General features: G+C 48.8%; 1 protein-coding gene and 1 long non-coding RNA gene across 3 annotated transcripts in view, besides 5 other annotated features; both read left to right on the forward strand.

Moving 5' to 3' along the window:
- Window positions 1-1,314: 1,314 nt before the first annotated feature.
- The window catches only part of HS3ST3B1 (heparan sulfate-glucosamine 3-sulfotransferase 3B1), a 48,324-nt gene continuing 28,000 nt past the window's right edge, over window positions 1,315-21,638 (forward strand). For both annotated transcript variants that reach the window (NR_130138.2, NM_006041.3), the window contains exon 1: window positions 1,315-2,306. Coding sequence is in view for 1 of the 2 variants with exons in the window: in NM_006041.3 (NP_006032.1) it covers window positions 1,753-2,306 (554 nt within the window). In the remaining variant the exon portion in view is untranslated. The remainder of the gene's footprint in view (window positions 2,307-21,638) is intronic.
- Window positions 2,801-3,100: a silencer, noted in NCBI's record as "silent region_8208". NCBI's record gives its function as "represses an Ori minimal core promoter by ATAC-STARR-seq in GM12878 lymphoblastoid cells {active_cell/tissue: GM12878}" and the evidence as "EXISTENCE:reporter gene assay evidence [ECO:0000049][PMID:35858748]".
- Window positions 3,915-4,415: an enhancer, noted in NCBI's record as "H3K4me1 hESC enhancer chr17:14206998-14207498 (GRCh37/hg19 assembly coordinates)". NCBI's record gives its function as "activates a minimal SCP1, AML or CMV promoter by ChIP-STARR-seq in naive and primed H9 embryonic stem cells {active_cell/tissue: H9 hESC(naive and primed)}" and the evidence as "EXISTENCE:reporter gene assay evidence [ECO:0000049][PMID:30033119]".
- Window positions 3,974-5,979, forward strand: MGC12916 (uncharacterized protein). The gene has a single exon (NR_026880.1). It is a non-coding gene; the product is annotated as an uncharacterized protein MGC12916 (long non-coding RNA).
- Window positions 9,791-9,850: a silencer, noted in NCBI's record as "silent region_8209". NCBI's record gives its function as "represses an Ori minimal core promoter by ATAC-STARR-seq in GM12878 lymphoblastoid cells {active_cell/tissue: GM12878}" and the evidence as "EXISTENCE:reporter gene assay evidence [ECO:0000049][PMID:35858748]".
- Window positions 10,019-10,539: an enhancer, noted in NCBI's record as "H3K4me1 hESC enhancer chr17:14213102-14213622 (GRCh37/hg19 assembly coordinates)". NCBI's record gives its function as "activates a minimal SCP1, AML or CMV promoter by ChIP-STARR-seq in primed H9 embryonic stem cells {active_cell/tissue: H9 hESC(primed)}" and the evidence as "EXISTENCE:reporter gene assay evidence [ECO:0000049][PMID:30033119]".
- Window positions 10,540-11,060: an enhancer, noted in NCBI's record as "H3K4me1 hESC enhancer chr17:14213623-14214143 (GRCh37/hg19 assembly coordinates)". NCBI's record gives its function as "activates a minimal SCP1, AML or CMV promoter by ChIP-STARR-seq in naive H9 embryonic stem cells {active_cell/tissue: H9 hESC(naive)}" and the evidence as "EXISTENCE:reporter gene assay evidence [ECO:0000049][PMID:30033119]".

The raw sequence follows: 21,638 nt of genomic DNA on the forward strand, positions 1-21,638 counted from the left end.
GCTGGGTTGCAGGCATCGAAAACTTCCTGAACACGACCAGTAAGAATTTGATCTCGAGCTTCCGAACTCCAAACGCCTGGGCAAGAATTCAGCAAAGCGCAGCACCGCTCACCCGCACTTCCCCCAGCTAGCGGTTGCTGTTTCTTGGAAGACGCGTTTATCCGCCCCAGTCCCGGGTGGGTGGGTCATTTTGCCAAAGAAAATGTGGTTGGGGGTGACTTCGAGTAGACTTTCACTATTAAATAAGTGCACCTCAGTGATGGATTTGTTCCAAATTGATGTTTGACTTTTAAAAAAGCGGTGGTGAATGACAACACGAAACAATCAGTGTCACAGGTTAGCAAATCACACTGTCTCCTAAATTAAGGCAAATGTTGGCTTTATATCTATTCAGGAAAAAGGGGGAGATGGAAAGTTTTCTCAAACCTAACGTCTCCAACAAACTCATATCCAGATAAAACTTCCTACACATGACTCCCACGCACATGTTTCGACCAGGAAACTTTTGTTTACCAGACTCTCTTCCTGGTAATTTCTCCTGTCTCTTTTCCCCTCCCCAACCTACTTTCGGCAGTTTGGAAGGCTGGAGATTTTTGTTAAGGACACTTTACACTAATCTCAGTTAACCGGCAGGCCAAGCTAACCTGGCAAAGAATAAGAAGGAAAGACACACACACACACACACACACACACACACACACACACACACGACAGCGATTTCCAAACATCCTTTCTACTTAAACTTCCTAATCCCGTGCCTGTCCCAGAAGGGTCTCCGAATGAGTCCCCGGCGTGGGTTGGGGGGGGGGTTCCAGTGCCTAGTGCATCTCCTACCCTGCTCTCCCTCCTCCAACCGCCTCCCTACTCTGCAACACGTAAGCATCACGAAACCTCCTGCGAAACATCTGGATGGGGACTGGTGTCCCAACATCTGGGCAACTACCGCCAAGGCTGGCTTCTAGGGAACGAGTGCGGAAATGCGTGCGGGTGTGGGAGCGCACCACTCAGTAGGGTAGGACCTCTCCCAGCGCTAGGTCACTGCAGCATTCTTCCCACCATCTGCTCCTGTCACCAGCCCCTAACTCCGCCCCTTTGGGCCCGCCCCTTGTTCCGAAGCCAATAGCAACCCCTGACCGCCCTACACCGCCCAGAAGCCTTTCCACACCCCCTCGTCCTGGGAGCGGGTTGGCTGCTGAGCTCTCGGAGAAGCGCCTGTATTTGCATGGCGTTCGGGGTTTTTGGTAGGTAGAGCAGCCCGTCACTCTGGAAGGCCGGGACCGCCCACTCCACCTCGGTCCACAGCTCTCTTCCTGCGCAGTTCGCCTCTGCAGCCTCTGCGGGGAAGTGCCGGGGCTGCTCGAGGCTCAGTTCTTAGGACTGCAAGGAGGCAGCCCCGGCGTGCGGCGGTGCGCACAGTCTAGAGTGGCCAGGGCGCGAGAGTGCAACGTCCTCCTGGCCCCGAGCGCGTCGTCGCGCCCCGGGAGCAGACCCTCGCCCAGCAGTTACCGCCGTCCCGACTTTCCGTTCCAGTTGCAGCTCCTGCCGGGCAACATGTCAAGAGCCGCCGCCGCTACAGCTGCCGCCGCCACCTGGGGAAGAGCAGCAGCAGCAGCGGCGGCCGCGGGCACACGGGGGCAATAAACCGAGCCACCCGGGCGTCCAGCGTGCCGGGGAACCCTCTCTGCGCTCACTGCCCGGCGGGACCCACGCCATGTGCTGAGCCATGTCCCTGGCCGCGCCCGCGGGCAGCGCATGGGGCAGCGCCTGAGTGGCGGCAGATCTTGCCTCGATGTCCCCGGCCGGCTCCTACCGCAGCCGCCGCCGCCCCCGCCGCCGGTGAGGAGGAAGCTCGCGCTGCTCTTCGCCATGCTCTGCGTCTGGCTCTATATGTTCCTGTACTCGTGCGCCGGCTCCTGCGCCGCCGCGCCGGGGCTGCTGCTCCTGGGCTCTGGGTCCCGCGCCGCACACGACCCGCCAGCCCTGGCCACAGCTCCGGACGGGACGCCCCCCAGGCTGCCGTTCCGGGCGCCGCCAGCCACCCCACTGGCTTCAGGCAAGGAGATGGCCGAGGGCGCTGCGAGCCCGGAGGAGCAGAGTCCCGAGGTGCCGGACTCCCCAAGCCCCATCTCCAGCTTTTTCAGTGGGTCTGGGAGCAAGCAGCTGCCGCAGGCCATCATCATCGGCGTGAAGAAGGGCGGCACGCGGGCGCTGCTGGAGTTTCTGCGCGTGCACCCCGACGTGCGCGCCGTGGGCGCCGAGCCCCATTTCTTCGATCGCAGCTACGACAAGGGCCTCGCTTGGTACCGGTGAGTTTCCCTGCCAGGGGCAGGGTCTCCATCGTCGATTCAGACCCTGAGCTAAGGGAGACATGGCGTATGATAGGGAATTGGCAGGGTTACAGCTTCGGACCACCCGGGGTAGGGCAGGGAAACTACGGCAGATTGCGCAGCGCATCCTGTCCGGGTGCGGTGAGGGTTGCGCTCCGCTTGGTTCTCGTCACAACCCACAGAAAGTTCTCGCGGAGCACTGGTGCCCTTGAATTCATCAGGCGACCTCGCCGCAAAGAAGAAGGGCAGCGACTGAGACCGCCCTCAGCAAAGCGAGCCACCCTCTAACCATGGGGGTATCCGACTCGAATCGTATTTTATGACTCGTTTTAAATTTTTTCCTCCCGGAGCCCGAGACGCTGGGAATGTTCTGAGCCCCTTTGGTCGGTCTCCGCCCTCAAGGAACTTCTAGAGCAGCTTCTGCTTCCCAGATGGGGAGAGGGGGTGGGGGCCGCGGCGTCCCGGCGAGGCCGCAGAGTCTGTTAACTTTTTGTTACAGTCCGCCTGGTTACCGGAACCCCAAGGGTGTCAGACCCGCCTCGCTCGCGAGCCGCCTGGGCTCGGGAGGGTGAGCCGGGCGGGTGGCCCGGCGCCTCCGCCTGGCGGGCGGGCGGCGCGCGGAGCGTGGAGCTGTGCTGGTCCCTGTCGGGCAAAGGCGCGCACTGCAACCGGCTGGAGCGGCGCGAGGCTTTGAAGGCGTCCGGGCCTCCGGGCACCGCCGCCCGTTTCCGCCTCCCTGCCCTCGGTGCTGGGATAGGGAAAGCAAGGACGCGTGTCTCCGCGGGGCTTTTACACGTCCGGAGCAAAGAATATTCGGGGCCCATTGATTGAGAAATGAGGGTTGCTTCGAGGTCGCGGCTTCCGGAAATTCTGTTCTCGAGTCGGGTTGCGGGTCAGGTTCCAAAGGGACAGTGGCCCCGGGGTCACAATCACTACCTCTGCCCACTGCTTTCCGCAGCTGCTGGTCTTTGGGGTGAGCTGTTGGGTTGCCCGAGCTTCGGGTAAGGCGCGAGTGGGCAGGAGGTCTAGATTTCGGCCTCCGATAACTGTCTTCGACTAGGGGCCCAGGTAACGACCCCCACATTTTCGTTGGGGTCTCCACCCGTAACCCCAGCCAGCACGACATTCAGACACCCCTCCAGGCCCAATTAGCTTCACAGACGCTCAAGACTTGGGAAAACAAAAGAGGAGAAGATAACTGAACCCCTCTCCCTGTGCCCACCCCACTGTCGGGACCTGGGTGGGTTGGAGAATAAAAGAGGGCTGACCCCGCGGATTAAAACGGCTCCCTTCCCAGCCTCGTCCTACCCCTTCCCCTTTGTCCTTAATGGTTTTTTATTATTGTCAGGAGTTGCCCAAGTCTCGAGGTTTAGCCAACCGTGACAGTCATCTTTCCCACCGTTCCCGGGCTGTGACCCATTCTCGGGACACTGGTGGATAAGAATGGGGTCTCTGGAGTCCGACGCCTGGATTCACGTCCTGGCTAGTCGCGTGAACCTTGGTGCTCTCATCTGTGCAGTGGGAATAATGCAGGTTCTGGGCAGGGATGGGAAGAGTGAATGCGCTGGTACGGTAAGGTGCCTCGCAGGCACGTGAGGGCCTCTCTAATCGTTAGCTATTGTCACCGATTGTATTGTTATGACTTCTACCACCACCACTCCCCCTCCTCCTGGGATGGTGATTCCAGGGCCAGGCGGCAGGCTATAACTAGCGCCCTTCCAGGTGGAACCCGCCAGAGCCCCGAGGCAGCCTAGGATTTTCTGAGATCAGACACACTTGGGCCGGGTTGGGAGGAACTGGCAGGAAAAGGACTGAACCCTTAATGTCAGGCGGTTTTGAAGCACCTGGGGCAAGCTATGGAAATCCCCACAGGAAGGCTCACGCAGTCTCTTAGGCGGCTGCCCTCCACCTGCCACGTTCTTTTTGATTGACTAAAAAACGCTGAATGAAGAACGAAGTCGCGTGGAAACCCTCGCCGCGCGCCTGCAGCGGACAGCGCAGCCCGGGAGGTTCGGCTGCCGACTTGCGCCCGGGGGCTGCGCTGCGAGCGGCCACGCATGGCGGCTGGACCCGGGCGGCCGCAAGGGCTTGGCTGGGCCGCGGGAGGCGGGAGGTTCTTCGTCCTCCCGAGCCATCTCCCTGAACTGACAAGCAGGACTCCCGGGTCCAGGGGGCACAGGGCCCGGGGCGGTGACCCGGCGGATCGGGCTGCCGGAGGAGCCCACTGTAAATGCCGCAACTGGCCCCAAACACTGCGTTCCTGGACTGCACCAGCAGCTCCTGGCGCGGCCGCAGAGTTGGTGGATATTTTCCAAGGGGGAAAAAAATCTTTTAAATGCCATCTGTTTACTTTAAAAATGTTGATTACTTAAGAAAAACGAATGGATGTCTGGGCAAAGGTATGGACGTCACAATTATTTTGAAGGCGTCCTTTTTAACTTTAAACAGACCACGCCAGGAGGAGACTGCTGACCCAGAGCGCATTACCTAAAATCTGGTACCCAGAGTGCACCCTTCGCCCTCGTTGGAGTTCTCTCCTCTCTGCCAAGCTTTGCTCCGTGCCAGAGGTGTGCTCCATTGTACCTCCGCTCTGTCCCTGCAGTCAGGCAACCAATTGGAGAAGAGTATAAATAGTAATTAACCAGGGAGAGTTGTAATTCAGAAACCTAGTTAAAACAAGTCCTCAAAAACTAGAGAATATGAGAGTGGGGAGACATTTTGAAGGCATTAAGAACAAAAAACGATGGGGACGAATGGTTGAGTCTGAGGATCAGCATCGTAATCTGTTAGAGAACGAGGTCGTGGCTGTGTCTGTGAGTCGTTAATGGGTTTAATCGGTTGATACACAGCCTGCTAGTGGCCTAACCAGTAACCCAGGGCCTGGCAGATTTGCATGACATCTCGGAGTTTGATTGCTCTTCCTTCCACTTGGCAAAAGGAGACACCATCAGCCGGATCAGGAGGGGTCATGGTGAGATGGAACCCACCGAGGTGGTGTACAGAGCTGGCGCTGCCAATGGCCAGAGTGGCAGCCTTTCTACCTCCTTAACCCTGCAAAAATCAAACGTGCTAGTACGCACTGTCCATCCACACTGGAACTCCAGTTGGTTTTAGTCTGCGATGATGACTCTTCTGGGTTGACTTTTCCAGTTCATTATGCAGCCCTCTTGAAGCAGGCCTCCCAAACTTAGCAGACACCAATGAGAACCTCACAAAGAGGCTCATCAAGCAGGCTGGTGAAACTGGGTGTTACTTCCTGTTCCATGGGTACCCCATAGTGTTTGGGAAACACCGGGCTGTGGTTCAGGAGAATTTCACATATGCTAAGATGGAGAAAGAACCTGCCCTTTACATTTAGGCTTGGGATGTTAATTTAAAGTTTGAATGACCAAAAATTAAATCTGTAACTTTTAAAGTTTCTCTTTGTGATTTTACTTAAGTGTTGGTAGATATTCTTAAATTGTAATGACCTCAGTTTGGGAATTAAGTTAGCCAAATATTGTGTAATTATTGTTTGTTATACAAAAATATGCCTTAGACTGTACAGCGGCAGAAACTCCCTCTACCACCTCGGTCCCCCTTTCCATTCTGCGTTATACAAAATAAGCTGACACGTTAATGCTGTGGCCCACATTAAACAAAGTATACCGTACGTGTGTGTGTGTGTATGTGGCATAATAAATGGTGGTAGCTAACACTTACCGAATGTTTTCCCTATGTTCCAGGCACTGTTTCAAGTTTTACAGGATTAGCAAATTTAATCCTCATTACAGTTCTGTGAAGTAGGTACTTTTACAGGTGAGGAAACACAGGCACAGAGAGGTTAAGCAATTTGCCCAAGATCTCACAGCTGGGAAGTACCAAAGCTAATATACCAACCCAGGCAGTCCTGCTCCAGAGATCGTTCTGGACCATTCTGGATCACACTTCCTCGCTTAAGTGATTGAAGCAAGATATTTATCATATAGCATGGGTCCAAAACTGAGTTTGCTTTAGAAGAGTTTGACAGCTTTCTGACATGCCTTTAGTGGTCTCAGCGCAGACTGCAGATTTTGTCATTCACTTGAAAAGAATATCAGCCCCCAAGCAGGATAGTTACTACATCTAACATTGGTTAATAACTAGAGTGAGGATAATCACACCACCGTGTCAGTTTCATTTTTCTGCAAAGGACAGTTAGAATCAAGGGAGTCACTGACATGGCAAAAAATCCCTCAAGCATCCAGACAGAGAAAACATAGCAAGTGTCCCTCTTGAGGAGATTTATCCTCTGCCATTTGTCCTTTTTAAGGCTGGGAGGAGGATGTGAGGTTAAATGACACGTTCCAGAACTTCTTGGAATTAATTTATTCATAAAAAGAGTGCCCCCAAATCAAGTTCATAATTAACTTGTACTGATTAACCAGCAGACAATTATAGCTAACACTTTTGGCAGATTCATTTAGAATGAACATAGAAAACCCTGTAACTTCAGAAATCTCTCTCTTGAAAGCTAATAGCTGAAAATAGCTATATTCCCCACATTTTAAATTTAACAAATGCTGAGAAAACAAAATTGCCTCCTATTTTTCTAGTCTACTTCAGAAAACCTGGTAGCAAAGAATGTTTCTGTCTTCACTGAGGGAAATTTAAGATAAGATCTGGCTGGGGATAATCCATTTTGAAGGAATTACACTCTCTTAGTCCCAGAGTTTAAACCAAGTATGTAACTCACTTCCAAGATGCTGGGTGAAGATAAAAAAAAAAAATCTACATTTGTATGCAACAATTTGAAATACAAACCATCATGTTACAAAGCTCTCAAGATTTATTAGCAAGACAGTGGAGCATGTGTTGAACTCTGTTTTTAATTAGGCACCTAAATTAGACCATAAAATGGTTGATTAATCTTTTACAAGTTGAAGGGAAAATATAACATAAATTAACCTAATCATAAGTGTTTTCCCAGATGCTCTGAGTTAATAAAATAGTCAAAATTTAATAGCAACCCATTTGTTTTAGATAAATATGATGCTAAAATATATGAATTAGATTACACTTATTATCTTCCAAATGATATGTTATCATTGAACAGGTCTCTAAAAATTAGGTTGCAGTACATGTCTTAAAAATATTTATCAAAATAGAATACTACAATTAGGAATTACATGTTGGCTAAACTAGATTATGTTTTTTAATGGAAACTGATAATTGAAAATTTACAATTTAGCATAGACTAGTATTTGTGAAAGATATTTTTCCAGCTAGAGTTGTATTGCTTGAAACTTTAAAATGACCTGTCACAGCTTCTGTGTTTCTAGTTTGATGTTTTAGTCTGAAAAAAAAAAAAAACTTTTTAATATTTTGAAAAGTCAATATGTCATATAACGTCATTCCACATATGTATGCTGATTTATCTTTTTGTTTATAATATGTTGTAGGAATAAGGTTTTCTGGTTATATGAAATGACTCCTTGAATCACTAAAATTATTTATAATTAAAAGCACACCAGGAATTTTTTTAAAAACTCACCAGTCAGCTAGTTTTATGAATCAGGGAGGTGGCATTTATTTCAAGGTTCAGAACTGAAATACGTGACTCAGGCTGCTTGCCGACTGGTTTCTATGTCAGTAGTTTTTTGAATACTTTATGTTCTCACTCTATGAACATGGAAATTAAGTTGATTGACAGAAACACAAAATGCCTACTCTAAAGGCAGGGCATAATGAGCATTTCTTTTGCTGTGAATAGAGTTAGTTTCCAAACAGGGCGCTACCTCTCTCATTTAACAGTCGATGATTTCAGACAGTAAGAGAAATTTCAATCCTAGGCTGTTGGGATAGTCAGGAATTCCAGCAAAATGAGTCCCCCAAGTATGTGGCATATTTTCAAGTTTAATGAAAACAATATGCTGCCTACCTCGAATGAAAACATTTACCATGACTGAAAAGAAAGGAGATACTGATATCTTTGAAAACTAATTGTAAGTAGAGCATGAAACTTTTTATATATTTAAAACATTACCTTGTTGGAACTCTCGGGTTTCTCTCAAACTATGCCAAAACAAAACTAACATCAAATAAAACTGATGTTCGTGCATGCTGATTTTTATTTCTGATTTTTCTTGTCAAGAGATTTGGGGAAAAGTTTAAGACGTGAGAAGCAATTACCATCTTAATAAAATGATAATAAATAATTTTTATGGCAGCCAAGAGGCTATGTGTTAAAATACTGCTAATGCTAATAAAACCCACCATTAAGTTTATTTGTACATAGATAAAAGTGGTATTAATTTCCTTTATAAATTCTTTTAAATACAAATTTCACGCACATTTCGGTAACTTGAAAAATATTAAAAATATCTTGTTACTGGCTCATTCAGAAAATGTACTTCATTGTGTCATGGATGAAACATGTTTAAATAGCAAAGTTGTACTGCACAGGTTTTGCCTCCCAAAGATTGCTGTTTGTAAAAATTATGAGTGCGTATCTTTAGATTTAGAGCTGGTTAAAGAGTACTGTCCGAGAGGAGTTTATATTTTCCGGACAGTAAAAAAAAGTACACACACTATACATTGTTGGAATAAGATATTTTTGTTCTAAATATGGCAAATGTGAAAAAATAAGACTCTGGTTTAACATCAAGTTGATTGTGTTTCAGCCCAGACTCTCTCGCCAAGGGGTCACTATTTTAAACGCCATTGCCCAGAATGTGAACGATTCCATGTGTGTCCATGAAGCACCTTACACGTAGGATTCAGAATCCCTGTTTTCTCCCAAGTCTTTGCCCCACACTGCTTAATACTGTTACACTTGCTTAGAAACCCATAAAATGCTGAAAGATGGTTCTGGGCAATGTGAGGTTTGAGAAGCAAATGGAGAGTGAAAAAAACATTGGGAAGAGCAGTGAGAATCCCACTCTTGATTTAATGAATGGAGCTGGGGGGAGAGCCGCCCCCCTTTTTCAGGTCTGCGGACGGAAGTGTCCAGCAGGGCCCCAGCTGCCCCCGACGTTGCCACGTGTCCGCTCCTTTCGGGAGCTAGGGGGGCGTTGGCTTGGACATCCCGTTCTGGAAGGGTGGCCGGGGGCGCTACCACGGGCGGGGAAAATGGCTCCGAGCCACCCGGCCTCGGGCATCAATCGACGCGGCCCTGGTGTCGCGCGGGATCGCCGCCTCTGGCCCGGGGGCCGCTGAGCCGGAGACAGATGGCGGAGCTTCCCAGTGCGGGGGCAGGGCTGGCAGCCGAGACTGGGGCCGCCTCCCCCGCCCCTAGGCTGGCCGGGTAGTCCTCCGTGGCCACGTGACCAGCCTCGCCGTCCGGCCTCACCTGTTGGGCTGAGCCTGGCTGAGCGGCCCGCGCTAGAGGTGGGCGGTGCCGGCGGGACCCGTCTTCGCGCTGATTGGGTGGAGGGGCTGCGGAGAGACCAATGGTGTTCCGCCTGAGAGGAGAACCCCGCCCAGAGAGGCGGGCTGAGCGGGCGCGCCCCGCCCCCGCCGGTGTTGGCCTGGCTGTTGGCAGCTCAGCTTCCACTCGGTGCTGCTGATTTGGTCCTGAGCTGCCTTCGCTTTCCAAGTCGAGCCTATCAGCTGTTCTATTGTGCTCTCTTCCTTTGGTTCCTCTCTCTTTGTCCTGTCTGCACCCTCCTGCACAAATTCTCCTGTTTTCTGGAGCGGAGATGTCTGTTCTCCGAATGTTCGGCTCCCGAGTCCTGCAGGGAGACCGTCTCGCCTTCTGCAGCCCTGGCTGGCAGGACCCGAGTGGGCCCGAGTGGATTATTTACAGCCGAAGAGGACACTTCGGCTTTTTCGGACCTTATTTTGGGTCTGGGAAGCGGGAGGGGTTGCTGGCAAGAAAGTGAATTCAGTTGAGTCAATTTGCAACGAGCACGTTTCGTTTCTCCCTTTTCTCCGCCCCCGTTTCTCTTTGGGGGGAAGAAATGGATAATCCTCTTTCCACCCACTTCTATAATGGGTGCCTGTAAGGCGATTCCGCAGATTCAGTGGATAACAGAAAATACCTTCATTTCCATAATTTGGCCCATTAAATGACAGGACGAAGAGAAAGTGGGAAGGACTGGGATGGAGAGGAGGAAGAGGAAAAGGCCAGTATCTCACAAGCTCCTTCCGATCCCTGAATCTCACCTGGACTCAGACCGAGTGGCACGCCCCCTCCCCAGCACCTTCCGCGCTGTTCACACACGCCAGGCTCGTCCTCCTAACCCTAAGTCCTGTGCACAGAGCCCTGTAGCCGCCCCTACCCAGAGCAGGCACTGACAAGCCCACCCATTTCTAGTGCTGCCCAAGGTGGACTCAGCCCACAAAGGCCCCAGCCCCAGCCTTTGCGGATAGGTTTCCTCCGTGGTGCCAACAACTCTTGTGGATTTGAAAGAGGCAACCTTTTTCCTCGCGTTTCTAAAGGCCTATGAAAAGGGCACGTCGGGAAGTGCACATAAGACGTTGAACATCGTTGCATGAGATGTTGAAGAAGTACAAGATTTCGTTCTTCCTTCCATTAAAGTACAATCTCCCTGGGGAGAGACACACAAAGTACACAATTAGAGACCAGTAATTCTCTTCCAGATCGCTCCCGGTGCCTTTTCCTAGCTAAGCAGCCTCTCCCTGCCGGTCCTGGCCTTGTGTACCGGAAACTCTCTTGGCTGGATCCAGCCCTTCCTCCTGATGTGCTGTCGGGCTTGTCCCTGGTGCCCTCTTCTCTGATTGTTCCAGTCTGCCTGCGGGCACTTAGCATATGCTAGTGCTGCCAGTTGACACAGATACACAAAGCAGTAAACATCCTGTTCCCACCGAAGATCCCCAAGTGTGTGGGTGGATGGGTGTGGGAAGGGATGAGGTAAAGAGAGAAAGGCAGTGAAGTGATCATTACCTTATCACTGATTTAAAATACTTATTAATGGAGGAAGCCAAAGGTGACCATTTAAAATCCTTTTCTATAGTCAATGAATAATACATTCGTATAAATCATGTTTACTTACTTTTTCATTCATCTAACAAGGATTTTTTTTTTTTAAGACAGGGTCTTGCTCTGTCACCTAGGCTGGAGTGCAGTGGCACAACCTCTACCTCCTGGGCTCAAGCGATCCTCCCACCTCAGTCTCCCGTGTAGCAGGGACTACAGGTGCACACCACCATGCCTGGCTAATTAAAAAAAAAAAAAAAAAAACTGTAGAGATGAGATCTCACTATGTTAACCCAGGCTGGTCTCAAACTCCTGGGCTCAAGCAGGTCGTCCTCCTCAACCTCCCAAAGTGCTGGAATTACAGGTGTGAGCCACCACGCCAGACCCAGACCGTATTTTTAGAGCCGTTTTAGGTTCACAGCAAAATTTAATAAAGTACACAGATTTCCCAAATACCCATCAGTCCTACACATGCACAGTCTGCCACTATCACCATCCTCTACCAGACTGGCACATTTGTTACAACTGATGAACCTGTGTTGACACGCTATCACTCAGGGTCCGTAGGTTTACATTAGGGCTCACTGTTGGTGATGTACATTGTTTAGGGTTGGACAAACGGGTAATGACCTGTATCCCACATTATAGTATCATTCAGGGTAGTTTTACCACCTCAAAAATCCCGTCGGTGCACTTGCTCTTATCAAGTACAAGGCAGCACTTAAAACACTGAGGAAGTACAGGAGCCATGAACTTGTCCCTGAGAAGCCTGTTTTAGTTGGTGGCTTGTATGCATACCTGTAATCCCAGGTATGCATCAACTTGTATGCATCGTTTCTCTGCAGGGCCTCCTCTTCCTTGAAGCACCACTTAAAACAGGCTCGAGGAGATCTGTAGGCAATTTAAGCCTGATGTTTTTACTTTTATTTTTGAAATCATTAGTCCTACTAAATTACTAGTAAATCTGAAAACCATTTAAGGAGGAAGCAGAAGCATGAGATAAGATAGTACAAATTTAAAATGTGATTTTTGCATTTTACTTTTCCAGGAGCTTTCCAAAGAGAGCTAAGGAAGTAAGAAGGGGCCAGAAAGTCAGCAACTGTGTGATTAAAAAAAAAAATGTCTTAGCCTCCGTATGCAAGAACTTGCTGTGTGCAGGCGAGTGGGCCAGGCGCTTACTTAATCTTAACAGCGATGCTTCCTGTGTGATTTCCCTTATTTTCCAAGGGAGGAAACGGAAACTCACAGAGATTGCCTAAGGTCATACAGCTGTATCTGTAGGTGGCTCTACCTCTTGGACCTAAGGAAGAAGGGAACGACTCCCTGAGGGCCCTTCAAACTCCATAACTTGGAGGCTGTCTACCTGCCTGAAATTCAATGCCGTGTTCCTTCTGGACCAGTTTTAAGCCATCTCTTCTGTTGTTTCTTTCCTCCCAAAGATGTAGACTTTTCCACTTAAAAGCATTTCCAAGATTCTATTTTTTCATCCTTTTTTCTGTCCCTATTCTCTTTCACTCCCCACACTTGTTCCTAGCCTGTCTCTGTTGCTCTGATGTCCATGTTGATGGTGGCGGTCTTCAACCATGCCATCCGTGTGCCAACCCAGCACTTTCCTGCCATCCCTGTAGCCCTTGCCCCAACATCTGTGCATTTGACTCCCCTTCTCTGACCGAGGCCTGCTCCCATCCCCTCCTCTACCAACTCATCCCTTCTCTCCCACCTGCCCTTTGTGCTGCCCCCCACAACTACACCACTCAGGGTCTCAGCTCTTGGGATCACATTGACACACCCCCACATTTTACACTCTGTGGCCCATTGCTTCTGAGCTGTATTGTCCAGCACCATGAGGACCCCACCCATGGAGACACTGGGTTTTGTACCATCCCCAGCAGTTGTGAGTGAAAATGTCTTTTTTTTTTTTTTTTTTCCAGAGACAGAGTCTTGCTCTTTCACCCAGGCTGGAGTGCAATGGAATGATCTCGGCTCACTGCAACCTCTGCCACCTGGGTTCAAGCAATTCTCCTGCCTCAGCCTCCCGAGTAGCTGGGATTACAGACGCCCACCACACCACACCCAGCTAATTATTGTGTGTGTGTGTGTGGTGTGTGTGTGTGTGTATATATATATATATGTGTGTGTGTGTATATATATATTTTTAGTAGAGACAGGGTTTCACCATATTGGCCAGGCTGGTCTCGAACTCCTGACCTTGTGATCCACCCGCCTTGGCCTCTCAAAGTGCTGGGATTACAGGTGTGAGCCACTGAACCTGGCCAAAAATGTCTTATATAAAGCTGATCTGGCCCACCCCAACTTTATGCGCTCCACTGAGAACTTGGCCCTTACTTACTCTGCAGCTGCTAGCCCTGCTAGTCACCACCCCTTACCTGTGCCAAGATGACTTGTATGCATTGCTTCTCTGCAGGACCTCCTCTTGCTCGAAGCACCACTTAATTTAGCTCTTCCTACACAAAAGGAGAAACCTCAGAGAGATGGCAGCCTGTATATGAACACCACTCTCTTAACCACTTCTCGACATGGCTTTATTTTATACCTTCCCCAAGACTTCCCTCCGTCATTTCTTTTCTTTTTTTTGAGACGAAGTTTCGCTCTTGTTGCCCAGGCTGGAATGCAGTGGTGTGATCTCAGCTCACTGCAACCTCCGCCTTCCAGGTTCAAGTGATTCTCCTGCCTCAGCCTCCCAAGTAGCTGTGATTACAGGCATGCGCCACCACACACGGCTAATTTTGTATTTTTAGTAGAGGCGGGGTTCCACCATGTTGCTCAGGCTGGTCTCGAACTCCTGACCTCAGCTGATCCACCAGCCTTGGCCTCACAAAGTGCTGGGATTACAGGCGTGAGCCACCGCACCTGGCCCCCTCCATCATTTCTAAGGAGGTGCTGTGTTATCTCTTTTCAGTATTATTTGAAAGAAATCTCAGACATTATATTGTTTATAAATCTGTGGGGTTTGGGTTTCTTTTTTTGTTTTTGTTTTTGTTTTGAGATGGAGTTTTGCTCTTGTTGCCCAGGCTGGAGTGCAGTGGCACGATCTCGGCTCACCGCAACCTCCGCCTCCCGGGTTCAAGCGATTCTCCTGCCTCAGCCTCCCGAGTAGCTGGGATTACAGGCATGCACCACCAGGCCCGGCTCATTTTGTATTATTAGTAGAGACAGGGTTTCTCCATGTTGGTCAGGCTGGTCTTGAACTCCTGACCTCAGGTGATCCACCCGCCTCGGCCTCCCGAAATGCTGGGATTACAGGCATGAGCCACCCTGCCTGGCCTGGGTTTCTTATTTAAATTTTTATTTACATACTTATAGAAAAGTGTACAAATCAGAAGTGCACAGCCTGACACTTTTCACAAGGCAAACATACAAGTATGTTGTTGGTAACAAGCGCCAAGATCAAGAAGTGGCAGTTCAAAAACCCCCAAAGCTACCTCTGTATCCCCTTCTGGTTACCGTCCCCATCCCGAGGACAACCACTATCTCACCTTCTACCACCACCAGTTAGTTTTGCCTGTTGTTGAATCTAATATAAAGGAAGCCTAACAGTGAATATTCATGGGGTTTTAAAACATGCACATTTACTGCCTATGTTGACAGGTTGGGAGGTTTCACATACAAATCCAGATTTCCTGCTGCTTTTATAAAGGATCAGACAGTACCATGCCTGTCTTTCTTATGGCAACAAATGGCTGGACCTGGTGAGCCCCTGGGCTTGTGAATGGGGGAATCGTCTCTCCTTCCGACATTCTGCCCTCCCTGCCCCTTCCTGTCTCACACTGGGCAGCTTCTCTCATTTGTTACCAGAGTGGGGAGCTTCAAACAGTTTTCCCACTTTTTTCAGGTATGTACGTTTCACGATTAAATTTCCCCAATCCAGTTCATCACGGGCATTCTTGTTAGAGTTGGGCAGGAGCTTTTATCTATTTGACTTTTTCATTTTACACTTTTGTAGGGATCCCAAGAGAGGCTGTGTGGAGGTCTGCTTAGCTGGCTGCCAATTAAAATCAGAAATCACCTTGATGAAATCATTTTCAGTGACATGCTTCTCCTATTTTTTACTTTTTTAGTTCCCTAACTGGCTTTTCTTTGATCGGATTCCCCAGTTGGCAAATCTTAGGGTCAGCCTTTTGCTGTGGATAGTCAGGTCACTCAGTCATTCTGGTGTCAGCAGAATACCCAATGTGTACCATAGAAATTGGACCCAGCAGTGTTTCCTAAACCAGTTCTCAGCCAACTCTCCTGTAGGACCACGTTTTCCCCCAATGCACTGTGGCTCAATATGTTGTCCTATTGCATGTGATGAGCACACAGAGCATGCCGTGTGCCTCCTGCCATACAATTAGCAACACGCACACTGGCTAGTGAGTTTACTGATCATGGCCTTGGATGCTGTCGCAATGTCAAATTACTTATAATAGTTTTAAGTGCTTCCTCTCAGGTTTTGCATGTATCTCCTCCAGGACAGTTTGTGGGGAGTCCTGCAGACCACACTTTGAGATGCGCTATTCCACGTTTCTTTGAGTGAAGACAAAGTTCTTCTGGGTGTGGTGGCTCATGCCTGTAATCCCAGCACTTTGGGAGGCCGAGGTGGGTGGATCACCTGAGGTCAGGAGATCGAGACCAGCCTGACCAACGTGGTGAAACCCTGTTTCTGCTAAAAATACAAAAATGCCAGGCGTGGTGGCGGGTGCCTCTAATCCCAGCTACTCAGGAGGCTGGAGCAGGAGAATCACTTGAACCCAGGAGGCAGAGGTTGTAGTGAGCTGAGATTGCACCATTGCACTCCAGCCTGGGCAACAAGAGTGAGACTCCATCTCAAAAAAAAAAAAAATTAATAGGTAGAGGGTAGAAAAAAAGAGTTCCATGTTAGCATATTAGAGGCCCTGAGAAATACTGTAGCTAAAAACAAAACAAAACAAATTTATAAATTAAAGTAAATAAATGTTTGTTTCACCTAGCATTTCCCCCATGAGTACAGAACCCTCCTTTCATTCATACCTTCCAGCATCCTGAGGCATTGTGTCTATCCAGATGCCAGCTTGGGCCATATTCGCCAAACATGTTTCTGAGGTTTCTTGCAGTTCTAAGAGTCTGACACTAATCCTGTGCTCCCGCTCTCTCTCCATCCACCTTTACCCCTTGGAGCAGGCTTCCCGTTCCTATAGCTTGAGTTATTCCTCTCCCACACATCTCCCACTGTGATGTCATCTCAAACCTAATATGTCTGCACCCTCCCCCTGGCCCCAGATGATTGCTGCAAAAAGAATAAAGAGCAAGAAGTGGAGTTGCAGTGAATCAAGGACCCTGGATAAAAAGTGGCTGAGGCTGAGGCCGAGGCCGGGGGAACAGACTTGCTGATTAGGATTTCAAGTCGGGTCTTGCTTTGCCTCCACTTGCTGTTATTCTGTAAGCAGGCTAATTGCAGGTTCAGCTTTCCTCCAAGCAGCTTATGTCTGTTTTCAAAGGTAAGTGTTCTGTGTCGGTGGTGTTTATGGAGCAAGATGTTTGATGGTGTTGGAAAAGGTGAAGCTTTTTTCCACCCTGCCTGGCCCTGTGTGGCGCTTGTGGTCTGAGTATGTTTTATGCTAGCACCGAGATGATTGCTCAACCTGGTTGTAATGTTGAGGTCTTCACTAAATAACGTGAGTGCCACATGTAAACATTGGCAGCCTTGAGCTGCAAACGAAGCCAATAACTTTTTAAAAAAATGCATTTTCCCCCTTTTGTGTGGCCAAGGGGAACACTGAAAAGTGTCCTGCAGTTCACACAGCACCGGAAACAAAGGAAACTTTCAGATTAGGTGTCACTGGGGAAGGAGGCTAGTGAAGCCTTTTAACAGAGAGAGATGGGGATTGATTTACCTGTTTGTATAAAACTAAAGTTACAGGAGTATCTGGATTTCTCCTGCAAGCACTCTAAGCTTGCCATAGTTATCTTATTATCTCCTGATACACTTACCGTAGGTTCTTCGTACTTGGGGAAATTCTAACATCTGCATGGATCGCCTGCTCACCTCTACCTGAGCCCTTGCTCAGGAGGAGGCGTTTGGCAAGGACATTTCACATGGTTTGTGGGTGAATAGTTTCACACCAGAGTGGGATCCTCTATTGCATGTACTCGACTAGCTTTTCATTCTTATCACACTTCCCTTCCTATAAAGTTACGTATCTTTTAAAGGGAAATTTAATACCCACCTTCGCTTTCTGTGCGGCCTTGTGAAAATCAGGCAATAACAAGGACAGCCTTATTGCCAGTGTATGACCAGAGCATCTAGATGGCACTACTAGTGGAATGTCATCTTGTCTACCATTCATTCATTCATTCATGATTTTCTCTACCAGACAGTTTTGGAACTCCTAGAATGGGTCAGGTGGTAGGCAGGCATTGGGAAAACAAGGTTTTAAGCCATTGTCCAAATCCTCAAAGAACTCACCATTTTGGTCGAGGGGCCATGGTGAGAGGTGTATAGAACAAAGTAAGAAATGCTGTAGGAGCAGAGAGAGAGAAAGAGGCCCAGAGAAAAAGACACCATCCAGCTGGGCACTGAAGCACGGATAGGAGCTTGCTGGCTGGTTGTCCTGGAAACTGATCAGAATATTCAGGGCTGGGAAGCTCTGTGTGAAAAAGGCCCAGAGAAGCACAGAAGAGCACTGCAGCTTGGGCAAAACGGTGAAACAGTGAGGGTGCCTGGGATTGGGGGAGAGAGGAGCCAGGAGGCTGGCTCAGAGGTGGAGAGGCTGGAATGGCACATTAAAGAGAGGGCTTTTATCCTACAGACAAGGGAGTTTTTCAGGCCAGCAGAGCTCCTATACCAGAGACATTCACAAGCTTTATATGAGTTGTGAATTCAAATTCTTTTCATGTATTTTCAGGGAAAATTTAAAAATTTGTGATTTCAAGACAGAGAAAGCAGAAAACACATAGATGGTTTTCTAAGATGAACCACATTTAGCCCTGCTGGGTGATTCGAGTAAGGCTCCCAAAGGAACAAGCAGCAGTTCCCGATGGTGTTTGCAAATATGGCTGGGACATGCTTCCTCATCCCCACTCATTGCCCCTGCGGAATCCACACACCCCCTCCCTGCTGCCTCCTTGGGTAGCTTGGATGACTGTCCTAAGCACCTTCGTTCTGTGGTTTGAAGTACTGAGGGAAAGAGAGCCATTCTTCTCCAACTCCCCGCTCGGCTCCCCAGGCCAGCTTCTCCAGCCCGATGGTGTGGAGAGGCAGGTGGTCTGCAGGCTGGGCCCTGCCACCTCTCCTCTCCCTTCACCAGTCCTGCTGAGAGAGGATCCCTGTCATTCTTCCGGGAGAGGCATGTCAGCAGGCGCAGCGGGAGAGGGGATGAGGGAATTGCCACGTGTCCACGGCTCTCTGGCTCAACCAGGCAGGGTTGGGGCAAACCTTCGCCCTCTGTCTCAGAATTGCAAGCAGTCTAAAGAAGCCATGCTTGGCTCCTGCTTGCCGGTACTCCCAGTGTGATTTAGTCCTGGGCCCATCACTCACTGTGGAGGAACTCAGCTAAGTTTGGGAACCTTCCATGTTAGCATATAAAAGTAACTGCAGTTATTGATAAGGTCTAGCTCAGAATTGGGTTGCCCTGATCAGATCCTGTTTCTGTTTAGAGGAGACAGAGAAGAGAGGCTGAGAGGTAGACTCAAGAGGGCACAGCCAGGAGGCAGCTGGTTAGGGGGCTGCCACTGTGGCTGGGTGGCTCCCTGCCCTGACTGTGTCTCCTTCCCATCTGTCTCCTCCAAGGGAATGTTCAGTCTTTCACTGTTATTTTTGGGATGGTGTTTTCTTCCAGTCCCAGCTGGAAACAGAAGTACAGAACAAGCCCATGACTATTTTGTGTTCTGCGAAAAGAGCATTTGCCAGGCAGCAGATGTACTGGCTTCCTCAAGACTGAAGCTTTCGTTGGTTTTGAGGACTTTGATGGAAGCCACCTCATTTTACCCAGATGGTGTCTTTTGGGGATGTGGGTTTGGGGGATGGGAAGTGCAAAAGCACATCAGTGAGGGCTGTGAGTTGTTTGTGGTTGATCAGCCTCCAGATGTGGCAGATGGATGGATCGTAAGTCCCAGAAGCTCAGGTGCGGAGAGAGGCACTAGCAGACAGCAGCGGTCTGGGCTGCAGGTAAAGGTGCCTCCTAAGTGATTGCAAGCTCAAGTATAGTGGTGGACTTAGATTCTGTCTCACACATTCCCTCCGTAAACAGTTTTCTAGCAGCTTGTCAATTACATTCTGGTTTGGATTTGGTGCTGTTTTGTCTCCATTATAAAATCCTTTGGCTTCTCTTTACTCAATAAGAGTGTATTGAGAGGACAGGCACCGTGTACCCTCCTCCCAGAGGAAATTGTCATTAGGGCAGTCCCTGAGGATTGATTATATCCATTTGGAAGCCAACAGTGGACACAGGGAAGAGGGGGAGGAATCAGGTTGATTCCAGCTAGTTCTTGGTTTCTCTGTATCTGAATGTCCACTGATTTTCGTTTCGTTTCTTAGAATTTAAGTACTGACATTAATGTATTGAGCATCTACTCTGTATCAGGCTCTGGGATTCAAAGATTTGTTCATTTCACAAATATCACTGGGTACCTATTTTATGAACACTGTTCCTGCCCTCCTGTAGCTTACATTCTAGTAGGGAGATGGGCAGTAAAGAAATAAACAAGTAGATTAATAAAAATATAATGTCACCAAGAGTGAGGGGGTAGACGGTTTTGTGGGAGAGGATGATGGGAGAAAAGGGACACTATAGGCTGGAAGTCAGGAGGGCCTTTTTTTATTTCAATAGTTTTTGGGGAAAAGGTGGTGTTTGGCTACATGGATAAGTTCTTTAGTGGTGATTTCTGAGATTTCGATGCACCCATCACCCAAGCAATGTACACTGTACCCAATGTTTAGTCTTTGATTCCTCACCACCCTCCCCCCGAGTCCCCAAAGTCCATTATATCATTCTTAATGCTTTTGCGCAGGAGGGCCTTTTTAAAAAGATGAAAAGGTAGAAAGATGAGGACTGAGAGGGTCAGAGAGGCAGGTCTTGATGTGAGACGCCAGCGTGTGTGGGGCTTTATGAGTGGAAGGGACAGGACCTGTCCTACATTTTAGAAAAACCCTGACTGCTTTGCAGAGACAGACTGTAGAGCATGAGAATAAAGGGAGGGGTGAGATGGCTAAACACAGTATGGCATGATACATGCAAAAACAGAAGTAGTTCAAAAACAAATCCTACAGAGGGAGAATTTCAATCTATCTAGGCGGGATGGGGCGCTGCACTGGGAAGGCTTCAGGGAGGAGGTGACATGGGAGTGAAGTTTTGATGGATGAATAAGAGTTCATGAGCAGACCAGGTGGGAAAGAAGATCATGGCAGAAGGAATGCATGTGAAAAGGCAAGGAGGTTCCTAGGAAAAAATATGGTTGGTGCAGGGAAGGACCCAGCAGAAGAGAGTGACCGCATGAGGGGAGTCGAGGATGTTTGTAAGTAAGCCTTAACCTCATGACATTGAAGGGTAACTAGTACAGGTTATCCTGTGCTTATTTTTTTTTCTTTTTCAAGTATGTCAGCTCAAAAGTGGGAATTGTCAGATGCTGTTGAATAGTATTGAACAGAAATTGCTTTTGCTGGTGATCAGAAAAGATGCCACTCAGAAAAAAGGGCCAGTGCTGGAGATCCTCTCAGGTTGTGTTCCAGGTTCCACGTCTTCGAATCTGGTTGCCTTTTGCCTGTCTGGAAGGAGTCTTTCATTAAGTTGAAGCCATGTAATTAGAAATTCCATTTCTCAGCTCCGCAGACCTACAATAGGAACAGCCCCATTGGCCGCTCAGTTCCAGCATTCAGTTCCAGGCTGCCAGTGCCAAAATGCCAAACCTGGTAATTAAGAGGTGGCTCTGCAGGCACACACCTGTTCCGAGTGTGCAATTAGTGCCTGCCGCCCTTCTTACTGAGCTCAGCCCTCTGCACCGACCATTTGCAGGGACGGTGGGATGTGTGTGTACAACCTTGATTTACTGTGCTTTTTCTGAACATCAAAGTAAGAAAGTCTCACTCCTTTTGTTGTTGTTCAAAAGAGAAAGTGTAAAGGAAGGCCAGCTTGGAGTGTCTGAGGATGGAGTTTGGGCAAGCATTTGGTGGTGGACTTTTCCCCAGGATTGCTCACTCATCAGACACTTTCCCGTCTACGTTCCGGGTTTATAGCTAGGCTAATTTAATTTCCAGCTGAGAGGCTACTCCCCATATGATGGTAATCTCAAATAGTTAATGAGCTAGAAGAGGAGGCAGCCTATTGGATTGATTCTGGCTCCTCGGCTCAGTGGTTTAGCAGTACTAATTTATTAGCCTGTTTGTCTGCTGGTTCGAGAGGCTTGTTTAGCCTGGCGCAGCTTCATGTATCTCCCGT

This window comes from Homo sapiens, chromosome 17 (assembly GCF_000001405.40).
Source record: "Homo sapiens chromosome 17, GRCh38.p14 Primary Assembly".
NCBI lineage: Eukaryota > Metazoa > Chordata > Mammalia > Primates > Hominidae > Homo > Homo sapiens.